The 20,683-nt window shown below is 41.1% G+C and overlaps 1 protein-coding gene and 1 long non-coding RNA gene across 2 annotated transcripts in view; one reads left to right on the top strand and one right to left on the bottom strand.

The window, feature by feature from the left end:
• The window catches only part of KCNJ6-AS1 (KCNJ6 antisense RNA 1), a 222,067-nt gene that overhangs the window by 87,785 nt on the left and 113,599 nt on the right, over nucleotides 1-20,683 (top strand). The window lies entirely within an intron of this gene.
• KCNJ6 (potassium inwardly rectifying channel subfamily J member 6) overlaps nucleotides 953-20,683 on the bottom strand; it is a 309,085-nt gene continuing 289,354 nt past the window's right edge. Inside the window, exon 4 of the mRNA NM_002240.5 lies at nucleotides 953-19,064. Within this exon, the coding sequence (NP_002231.1) occupies nucleotides 18,739-19,064 (326 nt within the window). The 3' untranslated portion in view covers nucleotides 953-18,738. The remainder of the gene's footprint in view (nucleotides 19,065-20,683) is intronic.

The following is a 20,683-nucleotide window of genomic DNA, read 5'->3' on the forward strand; positions in this document are numbered from 1 at the left end:
ATCTCCACAGGGTTGCGTGGGGCTTGATGGGTGCCAAGTGCGACAGACACACAGGGGCTGGGGGACACAGAGGACAGGGTAATAATTCCACCAGGCACAACAGTAATATTGGCAGGGGCACATTAGGAAAATCAGGACGAAATACACACGATGTCCCAGGGTTTGTTTCACCAAACACTAGCTTCTGGGAAAGAATTTATCTTAGGCACATTTTTACATGACTTTTGTTCATGTTACAGTATGAGGCAACTCACGTGTCATTTTAAACCTTGGCTTCCTGCACGCCTCGGTAGAGAGGGACAGCTGGCTAAGCCACCAGCCCGAGATTCCCTGGTGGGGAGGAGTTAGAGCCGAGCCGAGGCACTGGAGTTTGGCAAAGCCAACCCATGCAAAATGGACCACTGAGAACACGAAAAACTCTCACGGAATGTTTCTTTAGTCCAACATGGAACTTTATCATGAATGATCAAACTCCTTTTATTAAGACTCTTAGAGCTGTGACAAGGGGCAGGATCAACTGCTCTGCAAGTCCCTAATTCCCTTTCGTTTTTTTCAAGTTCCATGAAGTGCAAGGTACAAACAGGTATCAAAGGAGTCCCACTTGGGTCAGTAGGTGTGGAAAGGAGCGGAGCTGACCCATTGCTGGGATCTGGCCATAGGCAGAACATTGTGGGAGAGATGGGGAAAGAGACAGGAGGGGGAGAGCGAGAAGGAGGAAAGGGAGCAAGAGAGTTAGGGAGAGAAAGAAAGAGATGGAGAGAGAGGAAGAGTGGGAGGGAAGAAGAGAGAAGATCACTCCAAACCCATGGTACTATCCTTGGGTTATGCCTGATATGCCTGACATCTTGAGTGGCCCTGGGGCAGGGTGTTGCGCTTTGAAACAATTCATGCTCTCACTTGTAGAAAAGGCCGACTTCTTTGGACACAGACACACATAAAAAAGAAACCAAGGCCATATCAAATTTTTCTTTTATTGTTCCAGTCAAAAAAAGAGGAACACCTCAATATGTAAACAGTTTCCCTAACACAGCGAGTTCTTAAAGATATATATATATATATATATTTTTTTTTTATTTTAAAAAAATTTGGCATTGTAGTGATTTCTCAATACATAATTTGTGCTTTCGCATTGAGCATGCTTTCGTCTCATTGTCCGTGCACAGACATACTTGGAGTTGAGTAAAGGGAGTTACAAAAGGACCAAAAAATGGGACAGGAGCCAAACCAGTACTTGAGCCCTACCTGGTGTTCCTTCCTAAAAAGCATGGTGGAAAAGTTGGCAAGATTGACCTCAGAAGCAAATCTTAGTGACTTTATTCCAAAGAAATCTTAGAAGCCTTGGTAGCAACTTTTGAAAGAAGCATTTCTTGTTTTCTTTCTGTTCATCCCTAAAGGATCATTGGTTTTGCTTGGAGAAAACTTTAGTTATTTTGTATGTTATATTTCTTAATATCCCTAAGTCCCTTCTAAAATAAACTCTTGTTTTGTGATTTTGCTGGACACATGATGGTTTACAACTACATGCTATTGAAATTCCACTAGTGATTTATTCTGCTTTTTGCTGAATCATTTCAAAGTGCTTGACAGTTGTGTAAAGACCTTTTGGTTTTGTCCAGTGAAAATTATTTTTTAATTCAATACTAAAGACTTCAGAGCCTTTAAGATGCAATGATGGGTTTATCAATAATACTGTTCATGCTATTCGTTTCTTAGTCCTTGTCCTTAGCCTGAAATTCTAAGTCTCTATAAATTAGCACCAGTTTTCCAAATGCATATTTTATCAAATCCTATGATCCTAGGCTGGTCTAGGTACCATCCCCCAATCTTACCTTGTGTGTTTCTGTTTTAAGACCCTCTCCCATGCTGGCCTTGCAAACTGAAATGCCTTTGCTTTTGGATCTCTCTCTCTCTTTTTAAAATAGAGATGGGGTCTTGCTGTGTTGCACAGGCTAATCTTGAATTCCTGGGCTCAAGCAATCCTCCCACCTTGGCCTCTCAAAGTGCTGGAATTACAGGCATGAACCATTGTGCTTGCCTGCCCTTGGATCTCTGTCTCCAAAACCTAAGCAGTCTTTGAGAAATGTCAGGGCAAATGTCCCTTTCTTCCTCATGAGGCCATTTCTTACTGCTTACGCAGAAACTGATCTACTTTCTTTACATTCCAGCAAATTTGTTGTGCCTGTCCCTCTTCGTTTAGGTATTTCTAAAACTAGACTCAGTTACTTCACGTGTGAAGTGGGAAGCAGTATTTTCTCACAGGGTTTTGTGTGGTTCGATGCACTTAGCGCAGTGTTGTTGCATGGTAAGGGCTGGCAGCCATGGGATTACAGGCTTGTTGAGGACAGTGGGGGATGTTACTTTTTCTCAGAGTCTTCATAGTAACTTGTCAAGGACATCACTCACTGTACTGCAAGTGTTCACTGAGTGCTCATGGCCAGCACTCAGGCAAGTGAATACACATTTGGAGTAATAAAATATGGGGCATCAGCTAACTTTCAGAATATTTTGAGTGGAGTTTTGTCCTTGTCTAGTTTTAGTTGCCTGTTGGGATCCCTGAGTATAAAAATACAAGTGTGTGCCTGCTCCCAGCATTGACGAGCTTCATGAACCTTGAAAATGGAACACTTTATTTCTCTGTAGGATGTGAGCATTTGATAAAGAACTCAAGTTCCTGAAAAAATTTCTGGAGACAAAGTTGAGGATCAAGTATCATCTGTGCTTCATTTCTTTTGGGAAGATGTGCGTTCTCTAGGTGTGGATATTGGAGTTGGCACACTGACATGCACCCTAATGACCCTCAGCTTGGGGACCCAATTCTGACACCTGCTGGGCTTTGCTTTCTTTGCTTAACTAGTTCTTGAAAATTCTGTGTGATGGTGAGAATAAGAAGTTCCAGGTACATAGAAACATGAATGTCCACAAACATGCAACCCCCAAACTAGATGCAGTCTTATCTTCAATCGCATAGATTCAAAATTAAAGAGACTATTGAAACCTTGGCACTGCTAGAGACTTTTGAACTAATAGCTTTCTGGAATAATTTTCTATCCTAAGAAATAGCTCACAGAACAACCCTATATTTTACTGGGCCATAGTAAACATTTTGGGCCTTAATATAATGCCATTTTATTAGGAAAGACAAATACAATGAATTATCTTATGATTAATAATGAAAAGTGGCCACTATTTTCCATTACTGGTATATAACTAAAATAAAGCAGTAGTGCTACGGTTAAAATAAATCAGCTTAATTAAAATATTATGGTTTAAGCTTTTTGCCTCCTTAATTATCCTGTCTGGTTTAGTTTTTGTTTTGTTTTTCTGACTGGGGCCCTAGGTGCATGCTTTAGGGAGGGTAGAGCTGGATTTGGGTTAAAAGCAAATTGTCAGTAGCCTGCTGGAGCTGAAGGAATTGCTCATGGATGAGCTGGCGAGATGCAGCCTCACATTTATTTTCTATCAATGATGCTGACCTTCCTTGGACATTTTTCTACTGCAGAGAAGACCACAGTGCATGTCCAGTAGCACCTCATTTATCTAGAAGGCACCTACCTCACAGCTCATCTCTCTGCTACCGGGTTTAGTGGTGGTAATGACAGGGGAGCAGGACGTGGTCGGTGGGTGCTGTTGGAGACAAGTGTGTGGCTGGTAGTTAATTTCCCTGCTGCCAGCAAGGGAATCAGTTAAATGATGAAAACAGCTGAGACTTAAAGCTGAACCATCTGGGGTCATTTAGTGTAGAGGTACAGTCTAGAACTGATGGTGGTGTAGGTTGGAATGGATACTAGAATTATTAAAGCAGAGACTATGGGGTTCAAATGTTTGTTGAAAAAGATGAGGAAACTACAGCAGATTAGTCTTTTTGCTTAAGCTTGCATGGAATGTTCATCAAGTTAGACTGCATTCTGGGTCATAAAACATACCTTAACACATTTAAAAGAATAGAAATTCTCAGATCACTTGGGATCAGGAGTTCAAGACCAGCCTGGCCAACATGCTGAAACCCCATCTCTATTAAAAATACAAAAATTAGCCAGGTTTGGTGGTGGGCACCTGTAGTCCCAACTACTTGGGAGGCTGAGGCAGGAGAATCGCTTGAACCCCGGAGGCAGAGGTTGCAGTGAGCCAAGATCATGCCACTCTACTCCAGCCTGGGCAACAGAGTGAGACTCTGTCTTAAAAAAAAAAAAAAAAAAAAAAGGAATACAAGTCCTACAATGTTTGCTCTTAGATAACAATGGAATTAAGCTAGAAATCAGTAACAGAAAGGTAGCTGGAAAATGCCAAAATACTTGGAGATTAAACAACACACGTGTAAATATCATGGGTCAAAGAAGAAATCTCAAGATAAGTGAAAAAATATTTTGAAATAAATGAAAATAAAAACATAGCTTATTATAATTTGTGGGATGCAATAAAAACAATGCTTAAAGGGAAATTTATAACATTGAATGCAGATAGCACAAAAGAAGATCTGAAATCAATCATTTAAGTTTCCATTTTAAAAAAGTAGAAAAAAAGAGCAAATTAAACCCAAAGTAAGCCAATGAGAAGAAATAATTAAAATTAGATTAAAAATTCACGAAATTGAAAATAGGAAATCAATAAAATAAATAGAAACAAAGTTGATTCTTTGAAAAGATCAATAAGCTCCATAAGTCTCAAGGCATGCTAACTAAGAAAAAAAGAGAAAGAACACAAATTACTACTATCAGAAATGAGAGCGGGGACGTTACTAGCAATCCCATGGAGGTTAAAAGGATAATAAAAGATAATGAAGGAATTTTATGAATGACTTTATACCCACAAATTTGATAATGTAGATGAAATGAACCAATTCCTTGAAAAATAGAATTTGTCAAAACTCACACAAGAGCAAATAGACAATCTGAATAGGTATATCTCTGTTAAATAATTTGAATCAATGGTTAGTAACCTCCCCAACCAGAAAGCACTTGGCCCAGATGGGTTCACTGGTGAATTCTACCAAAGACTTAAGGAAGAAATGATACTGATTATCTACAATCTCTTTCAAAAGCTAGAAGCAGAGAGAACACTTGCTAACTCATTCTATGAATCCAGCATCACCTTAATACCAAAACCAGACAAAGACATTACAAGAAAACTACAGACCAATACCTGTCATAAGCATAGATGCAGAAATCCTCAACAAAATATTAGCAAATCAAGTCCAACAATATATGAAAATAATTAAACACCATGACCAGGTGGAATTTGTCCTAGGTATATAAGGCTGGTTCAACATTCAAAGATCAACTAATGTAATGAATATCAACAGGCAAAAGAAGAAAAATTGCATGATCATATCAACAGATGCAGAAAAATCCAAACAGTCTTTCATGATAAAAACACTCAGTAAAGCAGGAATAGAGGAGAAGCCCCTCAACCTGATAAACAATATCTAAAAAAAAAACCTTACAGCTAACATCATACTAAATGGCGTGATGGTGAGAAACCTGAAGCTGTCTCACTAAGATCAGGAAAAAAAAGGTGTCCCCATCACTACTGCTTTTCAACATGATACTGGAAGTCCTGGCTGATGCAATAAGACAAGGAAAGGAAATAAAAATATATAGATTGGGAAGAAAGAAGAAATAAAACTTTGTCTTTGTTTACAGATGACATGATCATCTATGTAGAAAATCTGAAATAACTGACCAAAAAACAAAACAAAAACAAGCCCCAGAACCTTCCTGGAACTAATAAGGGATTATAGCAAGATTTTAGGATTCAAAGTTAATATACAAAGTCAATTGTTTTCCTATATACCGGCAATGAATAAGTGAAATTTGAAATTAAAAGCACATGATTATTTAAATTAGTATCCCTTGAAATGAAGTACTTAAGGTATAAATCTAACAATATGTATAAGATCTACATGAGGAAAACTACAAAACTGGTGAATGATATCAAAGAAGAACTAAGTAAATACAGAGATATTCCATTTCATGGAGGGACTCAATATTGTCAAGATGTCACTTCCCAGCTTCCTCTGTAGATTAAATACAATCCCAATAAAAATCTCAGCAAGTTATTTTGTTGGTACCAAAAAACTGAGTCTGCAGTTTATATGGAGAAAGAAAGCTACAGTACTCAAGACGATGTGGTGTTGGTGAAGGAATAGACAAATAGATCAGTGGAACAGAATGGAGAGCTGAGAAACAGACCCACACAAATATAGTTAACTGATCCTTGGCAAAGGAGCACAGGCAAAACAGTGCGGCAAAGAGGGTCTTTTCAACAAACGGTGTTGAAATAGCTGCACATTTGCACATCCACAGGCAAAAAAAAAAAAAAAAAAAAGAGTCTAAATACAGACCTAACAAACACTTTTCACAAAAATTAACTCAAAATCGGTCACAGATCTAATGTAAAATGCAAAACTATACAACTCCTAGAAGGTAACATATAAGAGAAAACTTAGATGACCTTGGATATGGCAATAGATTTTTAGATAGAACACCAAAGACATGATCATGAAAGAAGTAAATGATAAGCTGAACTTCAGTAAAATTAAAAGCGTCTGCTCTGAAAAAGACAAGGTCAAGATAATGAGAAGACAAGCCACGGACTGGGAGAAAATATTTACAGAAGACACATCTGATAAAGAATTATTATCTAAAATTTACAAAGAACTTTAACAAATCAACAATAAGAAAACAACCCGATTTAAAAAAATGCCCAAAAGACCTGAACAGACACCTCACCAAAGAAGATGTACAGATGGAAAACAAGCATATAAAAATATGTCCCAAATCATGTCATTAGGGAATTGCAAATTAAAACAGCAATGAAACACCACCGTACATCTTTTAGAATGGCCCAAATGCAGATCATTGACAACACTAAATGCTGGTGAAGATATGGAGCAACGGGAACCCTCATTCATCGCTAGTGGAATGCAAAACAGTACAGCCACTTTGGAAGGCAGTTTGGCTGTGTCTTGCAAGACTAAATATAGCTTTAACATATCATATTTACCCAAATGAATTGAAAACTTATGTCCACACAAAAACCTGCATACAGATATTTATAGTGGCTTTATTCATAACTGACCAAACTTGGAAGCAACCAAGGTGTCCTTCAGTAGGTGAATGGATAAATAAACAGTGGTACATCCAGAAAATGGATGAGTGTTTGGTGCTAAAAAAGTGAGCTCTCAAGCCATAAAAAGATATGAGGGAAACTTAAATGCATGTTACTAAGTGAAATAAGCCAATTTTATAAGGCTGCGTACTGCATGAGTCCAATTATATGCCATTCTGGAAAAGGCAAAACTATGGAGACAGTAAATAGATCAGTGGTTGCCAGGGGTTGGGAGGACACAAGATGAATTGGGAGAGCACAGAGGATTTTTAGGGCCGTGGGACTATCCTGTATGATTCTATAATGGTGGATCCATGCCTTTATACATTTGCCCAAATCCATAGAATGTACAACACCATTGTAAACAATGGACTCTGGGGTGATAGTAATGTCTCAGTGTAGACTCATCCATTTCCACAGATGTACCATTGTGGTTTGGCATATCACTCGTGGGGGCGGCCATGCATGCGGGGGCCGGGGGTAAATGAGAGCTCTTGGTAATTTCTGCTCTATTTTGCTGTGAAGTTAATGCTGCTCTAAAAAATAAAATTTATCAAGTTTTTAAAAAAGGGGTGGAGGAAGCTATTTCCGACCAGTGAAATGATATACCCAGGACGACATTGCTCATCTGGGGGCAAAACCTGGTCTTCTGAATCCAGGGTTCCTACCAAACACTGGAAGAAAGGCTGTTGCCTGCAGGTTCAGGGAAGTGTATGGTACATTTTTAAAATAATGCCACAGTGCATGCAGGGGAGGAACGCCAATCTTAAGGCTTTGATTTCTGGAAATTTACTTTTGTGGTGTCACTCATAACTGATTGGAAAGGATAAGAGTGTGTGTGTGTGTGTGTGTGTGTATATCTGTGTGTGCGTATGCATGTGTCTGTGTCTGTGTGAGTATGCGTGTATCTCTGTGTGTATGCATGTGTCTGTGTCTGCGTGTGTGTGTATGCATGTGTCTGTGTGCGTGTATGCATGTGTCTCTGTATGCATGTGTGTATGCATGTCTCTGTGTATGCGTGTGTGTGTATGCGTGTGTGTATGCATGTGTCTCTGTATGCATGTGTGTGTATGCATGTCTGTATGCGTGTGTGTATGCATATGTCTGTGTGTGTATGCACGTGTGTGTATGCATGTGTCTCTGTGTATGCGTGTGTGTATGCATGTCTTGGTGTGTGTATGCATGTGCATGTATGCGTGTGTGTGTATGCGCATGTCTCTGTATGTGTGTGTATGCATGTGTCTGTGTGTATGTGTGTGTGTATGCATGTGTCTGTGTGTGTATTTGTGTGTATGTGTGTGTGTTATGTAGGGAGAGGGTGCTTATATTGTTACTGTGTTACTTATGAAGGACTGGGGACATTATTGTTGCATAGTGTAACATTCAGAGGAATCCTCATTCTTTTAGAAAAGGAAAAAATCTCTATGAAGGTGCACACAGGGAGGAACCATGTGATAACAGGCCACATGTTTTGTTGATGCCTGTTGTCACAGAATTAGAAAATACACAGAAGAAATTCTTACAGTGCAGTTGTCGAGATTGCGGAAAGTTCTCATCTACCCTCTAATGCCCCATGAGACACAGCAAGCTGACCAGGTAAACTATGGACCCTGGGATCTTGTTAGGCCTGACTCCCACAGTGTGGGCATGGTTCAGGGATTTGAATATTAATGTCCTCTTTCTGAAATCAGACCCTCGACTGACATTCCCAGCATTCTTTTTTTTTTTTTTTTTTTTTTTTTTGAGACGGAGTCTCGCTCTGTCGCCCAGGTCGGACTGCGGACTGCAGTGGCGCAATCTCGGCTCACTGCAAGCTCCGCTTCCCGGGTTCACGCCATTCTCCTGCCTCAGCCTCCCGAGTACCCAGCATTCTTAAGCAGTACCATGTCCAGAATTTCTCCAGGGTTTGTGTTCAGTACGGTGGCTGCAGAATTGTTACTGGTGAGCAGAGTTTATTCTTGCCTGGTCCATGGGGCCAGACTAAATTGAGCTCTGAAAGTTTCAGTGGTAAATTCCACTTTACCTTTTATGCCAATATAGGGGAGTCTATTCTCAAGTTCAAAGCCAGATGGAAAATGGCAAGTTCAAGAAGAAATAGTATTCTGGAACTTTGCTCTGGGGGCAAAAATGAGTATTTCTGATTTGAAATCAGGTTTTCTGAAAGAATCCATAAGTAAATTTTAAAATTGCTTTTGTTTATATTTGTGCTTATTAAAACACTCCCTGTTCTGGACCAATCTTAATCTTCTAGGCAGAATTTATTTAGTGTTAAGAAAATGGCAACTCTTTGGACATCTGTTACATGGGATAATACAAAAATAATTTTGAAAATTTTTTAAAGGCAAATGTGACTGGAGTGTGGGCATGAGTGTGATATGAGGATGATGGCTTGAAGAAGAGCCTTTTAAGAAGCAATTTGGCCACCTAAGTGCATCCCATCTTAGGAAGAAAGGATGGGAATACCCCAGACCTGGCGTGCGGAGGGAGCTCCTGTGTGCTGGGTCCTACTCCACATTACCTTGGGTTCTCCCAAGGCTGTCTGCAGGTGGAGCAGCCCTAGGGAGCCTCCGCCCCATGGGGCCTCTGCCAGGTCTCCTCGAGCCTGCGGGAGAGTGGTCCACACTGAGAGGCTGGGAGTTACCATGGCAGCCAAGCACATCCTCGGTAACCAGGCACCCACAAGTGCTGGGAGTTTCCCCAGAGTACAGTCTGTGCAGACAGTGGGAAAGGAAAGAGCACTTTGCCAACACAGGCAGACACTTGGGGAGTCAATCATTTTGGAATCCTATGAACTTGTGAGTTCACTGTTGTCTCTGTGTGGCTCTTGGTTAAGACGAGGAAGCACTGGGCTGAATAAAGATGTTCAGGAGCTTCTTTGGCAAGCTGGTCCCCTAATGGCATGCTGCAAAGGACAAGAAGATCCCACTGGACCAGTCCAGCTGTCCTTTCAGCACAAGACCTAACTTTATGCTGCTCTCGTCAGTTACCGGGCTGAGACCATGTATACGCCCAACCATCACTCATAGACTCTCTGGGCAATTATGAAGCAGGAACAAAATGTACATATATATATATATATATATATATATGGTTAGACTCTGAACATATACGCTCGGTTAAAATTGGTGGTGGCTATTAAGTGGTAAGGAATAGGACTAACCCCAATAATAGGTTGCTGGATTGTGGATGCTCAAAAATGATATTAACCTTCCAACGGGGGTGCCAGGAAAAGTGAAGTTTTCGTGGTGAGATGAGGGAGCAAATTAAGAGAGAGCAGCTGGGGGGAATGGTTGGCTGACAATCTGCCATCACCCGAAAGCTGTGTGGGCACCAGGAGACAGCATAAGTTGTGTCTGTAAGTGCTGCAATGCAGAGTTCCTTGCAGATAATAACGGGACTTGAAATTGATGCCTTCATTTGGTGACCCTGATAGAGGTGGGGATGTGCGATTTCTTTTCTCTTTCTTTCTTTCTCTTTCTTTTCTCTTTCTTTCTTTCTTTCTTTCTTTCTTTCTTTCTTTCTTTCTTTTCTTTTCTTTTCTTTTCTTTTCTTTCTTTTTCTTTCTTTCTTTTCTTTCTTTCTTTCCTTCTTCCTTCCTTCCTTCTTTCTTTCCTTCCTTCCTTCCTTCTTTCTTTATCTTTTTTCCTTCCTTCCTTCCTTCCTTCCTTCCTTCCTTCCTTCCTTCCTTCCTTCTTTTCTTTCTTTTTTTGAGACTGAGTCTCGCTCCGTGGCCCAGGCTGGAGTGCAGTGGCATGATCTCAGCTTACTGCAACCTCCCCCTCCCAAGTTTAAGCTATTCTTGTGCCTCAGCCTCCAGAGTAGCTGGGTGTACAGGCAGGAACTACCATGCCCAGCTAACTTTTTCATATTTTTAGTAGAGGCGGGGTATTACCATATTGGCCAGGCTGGTCTCAAACTCCTGGCCTCAGGTGATCTGCCACCTTGGCCTCCCAAAGTGCTGAGATTACAGGTGTGAGCCACAGCACCCGGCCTTGTGAGATTTCTTAGCCAGGGTGGGATTCTATTGGTTGTGGGGTGGCTCAAACAAACCAAACTCCCAGCCTTACTCAAAAAGAGGGACCAGGTCAGACTATCTGGAGAGAGTTCTGCCATTGGCCCGATGACTGAGTCTGTGCCCACGGCATCGTGATACCAAAACGTGAGACTTCCTAGAGAAAAGAGAATTAGATATGTCATGAAAAAGAAAAGCACTGAGATCATCACCATGAGAAAATCAGAACTTTTGGGGATTTCCTTACCCTGACTCCATTTATTTTACTTGGACTTTCACATGGGAGGGCACCCCTGTGCTTAGCAGATGCTAAAGGTCTTAATTTAGTCATCATTCCTGACCCAGGGAGGTGCTCTGTGGGGTCAAGGGTGTGGGGCAAGTTAAGCTTGAAAGATACAGGGTCCCCCGGAAGATACTTCTAGGGGGTCATTGTCCAGATGGGCAAGAGCCAGACCCTGCAGGGAGAAGCTCCCCTAGAGAGACCTCAGTGGGTGGGCATGGCTGAGGATTTTGTTCTGCCCAAGTCTGAGCTACGGGAGGGTATTTCTCATACCCATGCCCACAGTCAGCAATGCTGAGAGATGATGTCAGGGCGATGCCCGTGATGGCCGGATCTGAGGACAGTGCTCCTTCCCCTCTTCTAAGAAGACTGGCTGAAGACCCAGAGGTTTGGGTAATGCACGGCTGACCGAAACTCTGATCTCTGCACTCCAGTTGATCGAGTTCTACTAGTTGTGTTTAGTGATAAGACCCAAGACTGACATACTCCATAAGGCATTCAGCCTGGACTAGGCTCTTTGTAGCCAAAAGTCTGCTCCTAGGCTCCTGGAAGACCTTGCCCTTTTGCTTGAATGTTTTGTGATTTCTATCAGAGTTTTAGAAACGATGATGATTACATGTTTATTTCACTAGTGCTTGTTGGTAGCAGATATTTACATTGCCTGAGAAAAACAGCCCTTCATATTCTTATAAAGATTGGCTTAGTTGATATCACAGTATTGATGATCGGTGTTAAAACAATGGGCACTGAGCCTTAATCTTGAAATGGGCAATTACACAAAGTCGGTAGGAACATTTCATTCTCTGAAATCAAGATCTGTTTACTATGTGGCCACAATTCTCCGGCCAACCACAGTGCATGTTGGGATTTGCATCTAGGGGGTATAGTGTCTAAAAATAACTCTATAAATACTGTTTTCATCAGTGATAAATCTAATCTCCATCACTTAATCATGTTGACCACCCCAGTGAAATATTTTTGTGTGCCTTTAAAGTATTTTGCCTTCCTTTTCCTAGGACTCTCTTATTGAATTAGGTGGATACATGAAGCTTTCTTTTACCAAGGCAATGAGGCCAAGTAAAAGTTTGACTCCTTTTACATTTATTTAAGTTTTATGGTGTTGAACTTTGAGATTTGTTTCCTCCCACTTAGTTGTTTCCTCCCACTCTTCCATGCAGTTGAAGGGTCACAAGCTTTTTGCATGATCTATATTGTAGATACCATTACCTACTTAGTTTCAGACGCAGGATCAAATCCATCCTTTATCTGTCGACAATATAACAACATCACAATGATTTGTTACATTGTTACTTTTTTTTCTTTCTCATCTGATTTCCAGGAAAGCACTCATAAGAGAACTTGATATGTTTTTCCATAGAACTAAAAAGATAAGGAACCTAGCTTGGCTGACTACCTCTGGCATTAGAAATGCTTCCTTAGAAGACAAGGGAGTTCAGCTTAGTGACACAAAGAATGCCATTTAATATTGACTCATCTAAAAACCCCAAGGTCTGGACTTTTTCCATCCATTATGTCTGTAATTACCAATCTTTGTCTTTGCTTCAGACTCAGAAAGCGCAAGAAATCCAACAACCCTTTACTATACTTCCGTGTCTCCCTGAGCTCTTTTCAAAGGACCTTTTGGTTTTCCATAAGAAGCATTTAGTTCTTTAATTACACATTAAACTTCTAGCTTAGTGGCTAGAGAGAGCAAAAACTAGCGCAATTAAACATGAGCTAGTTCCAGGTTCACGTTCATCACCTTGATCAGTTGTAAACTGTAGGCTAGAGAAAACTAGCAAGAAAACAGAGGGAGACATCTGGGCCACCTATTTAACTCTCCTCCAAGAGAGCCTAAGAGAGAAGCCATGTGGAGGAGCGAGGCGGGTTTGATGTGTGGCAACCACTGCAGGTCTGGGCTGCTTTGCTGAGCAGAGACTGGCAGCCTGAGCTATGTACATCATCCAACGCCTGAGGGTGCCACTGAAGCAATATTTCAGCGGCTGGGCTGGGAATGCCCATTTCTCTGTAGTTCATTAAGGAGTAATTTTACTGTATCCACTTTCTGAGTTGACCGCTAGATCCTGGCTGGCTGTTGACTCTATTTGCCACTCTGGAGGAATGGCATGAAAAGGAAGGATTCTTCCTTTGAGACCCTAACTGAATGACTGGGCTCTCTAAGTCTTGTGAAGCAGTTGTCTCTTTGACAACCGAAAAAAAAGAGTTATGTTATTTTGAACAGACTTATGAGTGACTTCAATAATTTATGCTAGAAAAAAAGTCATTCTTCTATATTGCCTAGGACTCTCTTAAGAGTACAGTACAATATTTCATAGTACTTAGTACTCTTACATACTATTATTAATAGTACTATTACTAGTACTTAATAGTACCAATAGTACTTAACAGTACAGTACAGGGGTCAGCAAACTTTTTTTATACAGGGCCAGATAGTAAATATTTCAATCTTTGCTGGCCACACGGTCTCTGTTGTAATTACTCAGCTCTGTGAGTGCATGTGGAAGCAGCCATAGGCAATACACAGACAAATGGCTGTGGCTGTGTTCCAATAAAACTTTGTTTGTGGACATTGAAATTTGAATTTAGGATGATTTTCACATGTCTCAAAATATTCTTCTTTTCTTTTTTTTCCCCCAATTATTAAAAAATGTAAAAATTGCTCTTAGCTCACAAGTGGTACAATAACAGGCAGCAGGCCAGATTTTTTTTTTTTTAGCAGATTTGGTTTGCTGAAATTTTTTGTAGTAAAAATAGCCCACAGCTTAGGGCCCTGTGACCTGGATTTGAGACAAGGAGCTATGATTCACTGGCCTTTAAACTTGGCCAATTTGCCCAAACCCTAGTTTTCCCTCTATAAAATGTAAATTATAATACTCAACCTCTCATGGTGAATTAGAATGAAATAAGATAATTTGTACAAGTGCTCTTAATGCTCTCAAACACCACACCATGTTGGGTAAAATATTGTTGGGTTATTATTATATATTCTGTGATTTATCAAAATCTCTTAGCAGCCTTCTGACAGAATTTTGACTTCTAGATGACACTCTGCATCTAAAGCACTCAAGACATTAAAGGCAGAAATATTAGGAAGAGGCGTGCTTTACTCAATTTTAAATTAAAGGCTAACATTTTCTTAGATACCGGTTGGCCATAAAGTTCAGAAACAAGATAATGTTATTTTAGTGTATTGTAAAGTAATATCAATGAATCATCTATTATGTATATGTTACCTATGTTTTTCAATGTTAAAGCCATCCATTGAAAGGAAATCATCCTTGAAGATAATGTTTACAATATATAGAGGACACTGAACTTTCAACTACCTTCCTGACATTTTTAAATCATACAGAGTATCACCCAAGTCAAGGAAAGAAAGACTGAAGAGTAGCCAGACTATTAGCAAACTGTTTTGGAAATGATTTACTATGAGTATTTTAATTGTATTCTCTCAGCAAATCAAATGATTTCCCATTCTTCTGGTGAGTTCAGGTAGTTTTCTAATAGCATTCTTATGCCCCCTTTCTCTGTCCACCAGTTCCCACCTTTGTAAGCAGTTTCTAAATATCCCAAAGACACTGGCTTAAATCTAAATAAAAAAGCAAAGGGGAAAAAAGTAAGAAAACTGAAATGTAAGAAAATGTAGGGATGGAAAGCATAAGAATGTTGCTCTGGAGAATTCAAAATTTAGACTATTAAATGAAGTCATGAATAATTTTTAAATTGGAGTGCAGTGAAAAATAGACATTTCAGAGCCCTAGCTTGGTTAGACCTGCAAGAGAAAATTGTGCTTAAGAAATAGGTTGACATTTGCAGCTGGATTTCTGTTAGGGAACATAAGGTACTGAACTAAAACAATAGAATTGGAACTGGAGAACCAGGGAAACAGCAAAGGATGGGGATAGATGGAAGAACGGAGTGGGGGAAGAGAGAGTTCTGCCTCATGGACATAGAGGGGATATATGCTGGAACAACCAGGCTGGAAGGCCATGTTTGAAGGAACAGAAAAGTTGACATTTGCTATGTTAATGTAAAAGAGTATAGCTTACCCAGGGGACAGCTAAAACAGAAATGATTTTATTGGTTCCATAAAGTTGATTTATAAATGAATGGGTGCTCTTCCAGTTGGAGAGCACGTTGGGGTGGGTGGAGGTGAGAATCCGAGGAACTCAGCAGCCTTGTGGTGGGGGGTCATGCTTGCAGCTGAACCTGCCCTTCCATCCAGGAGCACTTTGTTCTGTCAAATTGGGGTCAACTGTGGCAAACCATAACCCTTAAATTCCAAATTCTTATCTGGCTCACGGATCCCACCATGCTTTATGGAAAAATGACTCAAATACATTAACCAAACAGACCAAAGGATCTAGTTGAGAGTGATCTTCATTAGTTATGGATACTGTTGTATTAAAAGAGACTTTTAAAAAATTCTCATTGCACTTGGTTTGCTAATGGAGTGACTGAGGGAATGAGGACTGGATATTGCGGAATAGAATGAGTGGAAATTGTGGGGTCAATTTTGTTGAGCTGTCTTAATGGAAAACACCATTCACTCACTACTCGCTGCTTAGAAAATCAGTCTCAATGAACTTTCAGTTCCAAATTTTAACAGTTGACACAAAATACACTGTTAAACTGTGTTAACAACTGTAGAAAAATAGACATGTTTGATAGGGACATTCTAGTAAAAGGTTCTTCAGGAGCATCCCCATGTAAAGATTCAGAGGCTCACATTACAAAAACGAGATTTGGTTCAAGTTCTGTCTCCAACTACATTGACAACAAAGACAGTGAGAAACAGGGAGAGACCTCACATCTGGGTGCCCGTCACAGACACAGAACTGACAGGTGCACGTGGCCAACGTGTTGTCAAGGCTCTTCGTTCAGTTGTGCTAAAGGGCAGGCAAGCAGGGATGAGGCCCTGAGCTGCTTGCTCTTCCAACCAGACACGGGGGTGTGCGCTGTCCTTTAAACCTTAGCAATGGAATTAAAAAGGCCCAGTGAGTCTTCAAGAGCTAAATTAGAAGACATTTTGCCGCCCCTATTCCATCTTGTTTTGTGCCTGCCATGGCCTGCCCTGCGACCCTGGCAAGGTTGCAGGGGAGCTCCCCAAGCCAAGAGTGCCCTTCATTAGGCTGCAGAGAGGTCAAGCCATGGCTCCTCCCCGCAGCCTCAAGGGGAGTGTATCGAGCTTCCTCCTCCCGGACCACCACCTCCTTCTTAGAGTGTGCGAAATAAAGAAATGATTCAACAGAGATTCAATGCAAAAAAGGAAATGCTGGCAAACAGGAAAGGGCTATAGCCAACAGTTTTGTTTTCCTTAAAGTCAGTGCCAAGAGGCAGTTGTCCTGATCCAAGGTCTCTGAGATGGGAGAAGAGAGGCCCCGAGGTTATATTTAGGAGCCACTTTCCTTATCCTGGGACTTCTTTTTTAGTAGACAAGGTCCCCAGACTACACCAAAGGCCTGTGCGATCAGGTCAGGGAAGGCAAGGGAAACAAAGAGGGACAGCTAGTTTGATCTCTTTGACCTCCATGGTGCAGAGCCTCAAACTGAGCACAGCTGTAGGAGCTGAAAATAAACTTGGATCCATTCAATGAATATTTATGATGGGCAACTGTGTTAAAGAACAAACAGCTTATAAATGCAAAGTGAATGTGAAAGATCTGTAACAGTGCAAAATCTCCACCTGCCCCGGAGGTTTGATCTAAGATTTGTTTCCTTATTTTTTTCATTTTAAAATTCAGATTTCCAGTACAAATACCCTTCCTTCCTTCCTTCCTTCCTCCCTCCCTTCCTCCCTTCTTTCCTTTTTGCAGATTAAAGTGAATTAAGGCTGGAATTTTTTTATTTGTTTTCTTTTGATTGACAGACACTGGATTTGATTTCTAGCCTGTGGCATACTCTAGAGACATTTCTTAGACAATCATCAAGATTGTTGATCTAATCTTTGAATACTGAACTCTGGTCATTTCAAAATAATAAAAGATCACAATGCAAGAAATGCTGATGGATAAGCCCCAGGGACAGGCGAGATGTCATTCTCAGAAAGCCAGATAGAGTCAAAGTGAGAGGTCGATGATTATAATGCATGCCACTCACTACATGCCTTTGTGAATTTCACGGCTTTAGACCCAAACCATCTTCTGCTAACTTACCATGTCTCATTGTAAGAGTGTAGAGAAACTACAGCTGGAGAATCAATGGTTTTGCAGAAAAGTTTCCTAAATTATTGTACTACAAAGGGCAAGAGCTCATGTGAAAAGTAAAAACATACCTTTGGTGACAGGCTAGAGAATATTTCCTTCCTGGTATTCCCCCTCCTCCAGGCCAGTTAGTGAGGCCCTTGTTATCTTTTAAAAAAAGACATCTGTTTTGTAACATTTCACAGTATATCAGCATATTGGTGGTGGGTTTTGCCATCTACCAGACCTCTCAATTTCCCCCAGACCTATGGCTTGTTGGATTCAATGAAAGGATCCGTGTGGGAACAGTGAGGTACCCTAACGTCTGCCAGTCTGAGACACAAACAAAGGCCATGCACTGAAGGGCCAGCCGTCAACTGGATCAAAATAACCTGGAAAACACAGACATCAAAACAGAAATGCCTACTGCATGTTAGGAATCTTTCTTTCTTTCTTTTTTTTTTTGCTTCTTATTTCTAAAGTTATATATCTAAACCTACATTAATGATACATCTATGTACAGTATTTAGCAGTTCTGTTCTATGGTACTTTTGTACATGCTGGGTTTTATTACTAATTACAAAAAGAAAATAATTACATAAGGCATATATATGTACAGTGGTTTGTCTTCAGCTCACCTGGGCCCTGTAACTGCCACACCCACATGGGGGCAAGCACCTCACCCTGTAGTAGATGAAATGAATTGGGATCCATAAAACTGAGGGCTCCACTCTGTGTCTCACTGAATGAATAAATAGGCACCAGAAACCTTGCTTGTCATATCCCAGGTAAAATCTTTGACACACCTTTTTGAGTGATCTGGTATTGTACAACACATGCAGGTAAGTAACTGAAATCTCCAGGAGTTGGATGTGTAGTATTTTGGGAGGAGACCAGGCTTGGGCCACAAATGAGGGCACTTTGCACTTTCATCAAATCCATGTCTACCTTGTCAATCTGAATAACTGAGAGAGGGCAGGTAGATATTTTACACCTTGAAGATTTGTTTTCTGGTCATGTAAAAATTAAATATAAACAAATAAAGAACAAAGCAAGAGAGACAGAAAAAGAAAGAGAATGAGAGACAAGGAAAGATTGTGTTGGGGGGAGAAGAGAAGGGTTTGCCCAGCTAGGGCACTAAACTTTGGATTCATTCTCCAGGTTTGCCACATCACCATTTCTTTCTGTTTGCTCTTCGAGGTTCTTTTCTTCCTCTTCAGTCTCCAGTTCTGCATGTTGGTTGAGTTTGCTGGATACAGACCAACTCAGGGGCAGCTCTGCCCTGCTGGCTAACTCGGCCAGCTCTTTGGCACTAAGGGATGGGGTGCTGGTCTCATAGGTCTCATGGAAGCTGTTGTAGTCAACTTCGTAGAACCCGTCCTCCAGGGTCAGGACAGGTGTGAACCGGTAACCCCACAGGATCTCACTGGTGATGTAGGAGCTTCGAGCTTGGCATGTCATCCCTGCAGAGAGAAGAATGGAGGCTTTAGCATATGTAAGTGTGGGCTTTCCATGGCCAAGGAGTCACAGAGAGCCAGGAGGAGTACTGCATGCAGCTGTTGAGACTGACCTGCATACGATGCCACACTTAGTAGGTGTCATTCATGTTGTAGACACATGCTAATGTGCCATGGAGATTCCAGGCCTCTTAAGGGAGTCCTGGGGAACAATGAGAGAGTCCTGGCCCACATCAAGCCACATTTGCCTGCATGGCCATGCACATGCAAAGGAAATCAAGTGTGCAAATGCACACAAGTTTTCGCATGTGCATGGCTATGTCTGGTCCACTCTGCTCTGGGAGAACCCTGAAGCCATGACTCTGGCCTCCTACTGCTCTTGGAGGTTTAGCCTGGGTTCTAATGGGATTTGAGCTCTTTGGCCACAGACTTAGAATGAAATTTCATATATGGAACTACACTTAGGCTGCTTTTAAGCTAGAGGCCACAGATCAGTGTTACCCTCCCACCTGCCATTAACACACAGGCCATGACTGTGGCTCCAGATGCAGTTGGAAGGGTCACCCACCTGAATTTGCACTTTACTTAGGCCCAGTGGTCATAGTTGCTCAGACTGTGCAATCATAACTACTTTAAAAGCTTTTCCCCCTTCTTTTTTTTTTTTTTCTTTGAGATGGAGTCTCGCTGTGTCGCCCAGGCTGGAGTGCAGTGGTGCGATCTCGGCTCACTGCGACCTCCACCTTCAGGATTCAAGCAATTCTCCTGTCTCAGACTTCTGAGCAGCTGGGACTACAGGTGCACACCGCCATGTCCGACTAATTTTTTTTTGTATTTTAGTAGAGACGGAGTTTCATCGTGTTGCCCAGGCTGTTTATGAACTCCTGAGCTCAGGCAATCCGCCTGCCTCAGCCTCCCAAAGTGTTGGGATTACAGGCGTGAGCCACTGCTCCTGGCCACTTTTCCCTTTTCTTAAAGATAAGAAGCCTTTTTGTAATTTGCATAAAAGCACCACGTGAGCTACCAGCAGCCCTGGAGTCAGGAAGTAGCTTTCTCTTAAATATGAAATGGCAGAATGAGGAAAAGTCCAGCCACCTCCTTGGAAAATAAAAATAGGCAACAAGTGTGGCATAAGATATGAGAAATGACACGTGTGGTTTTTTAAAATTTTTTTCTGAGGTCAAAGAAATCTTTTATACAAATTCTCAGGAAATGAAAACATTCATTCAGTCATTAATCCAGGGCTGACTTCTCCATTAGGCAAAAAGGCGTGGTGTCTATGGCCCATGATACTTTTAGAGGCCCGTGAAAATGTTTTAACTCTTTTAAAATCAGAAAAAGATAAACTTTTAGATGGAATGGTAATATATTTATCTTTATGCCAACACAGTTGTAAAATATAACTTAAAACATTTTTTTAATGGGGCAAGGGGCTTACAAAGGCAAGCTCACCAGGGACTCATGAATATAATACTGTGGCCCTGTGTCCATTCAGGAGAGCAGCCAGCCAGCCAGTCAGTATGTCATCTGTTAGGACCACCAATAAGTATTACGCAGCTGCTTTGTGCTGAATGCAGGTGGATTAGGGAGAAGAGAATACCTGTGAATGTTTACACAGAAGGATCCAG

This window comes from Homo sapiens, chromosome 21 (assembly GCF_000001405.40).
Source record: "Homo sapiens chromosome 21, GRCh38.p14 Primary Assembly".
Lineage (NCBI taxonomy): Eukaryota > Metazoa > Chordata > Mammalia > Primates > Hominidae > Homo > Homo sapiens.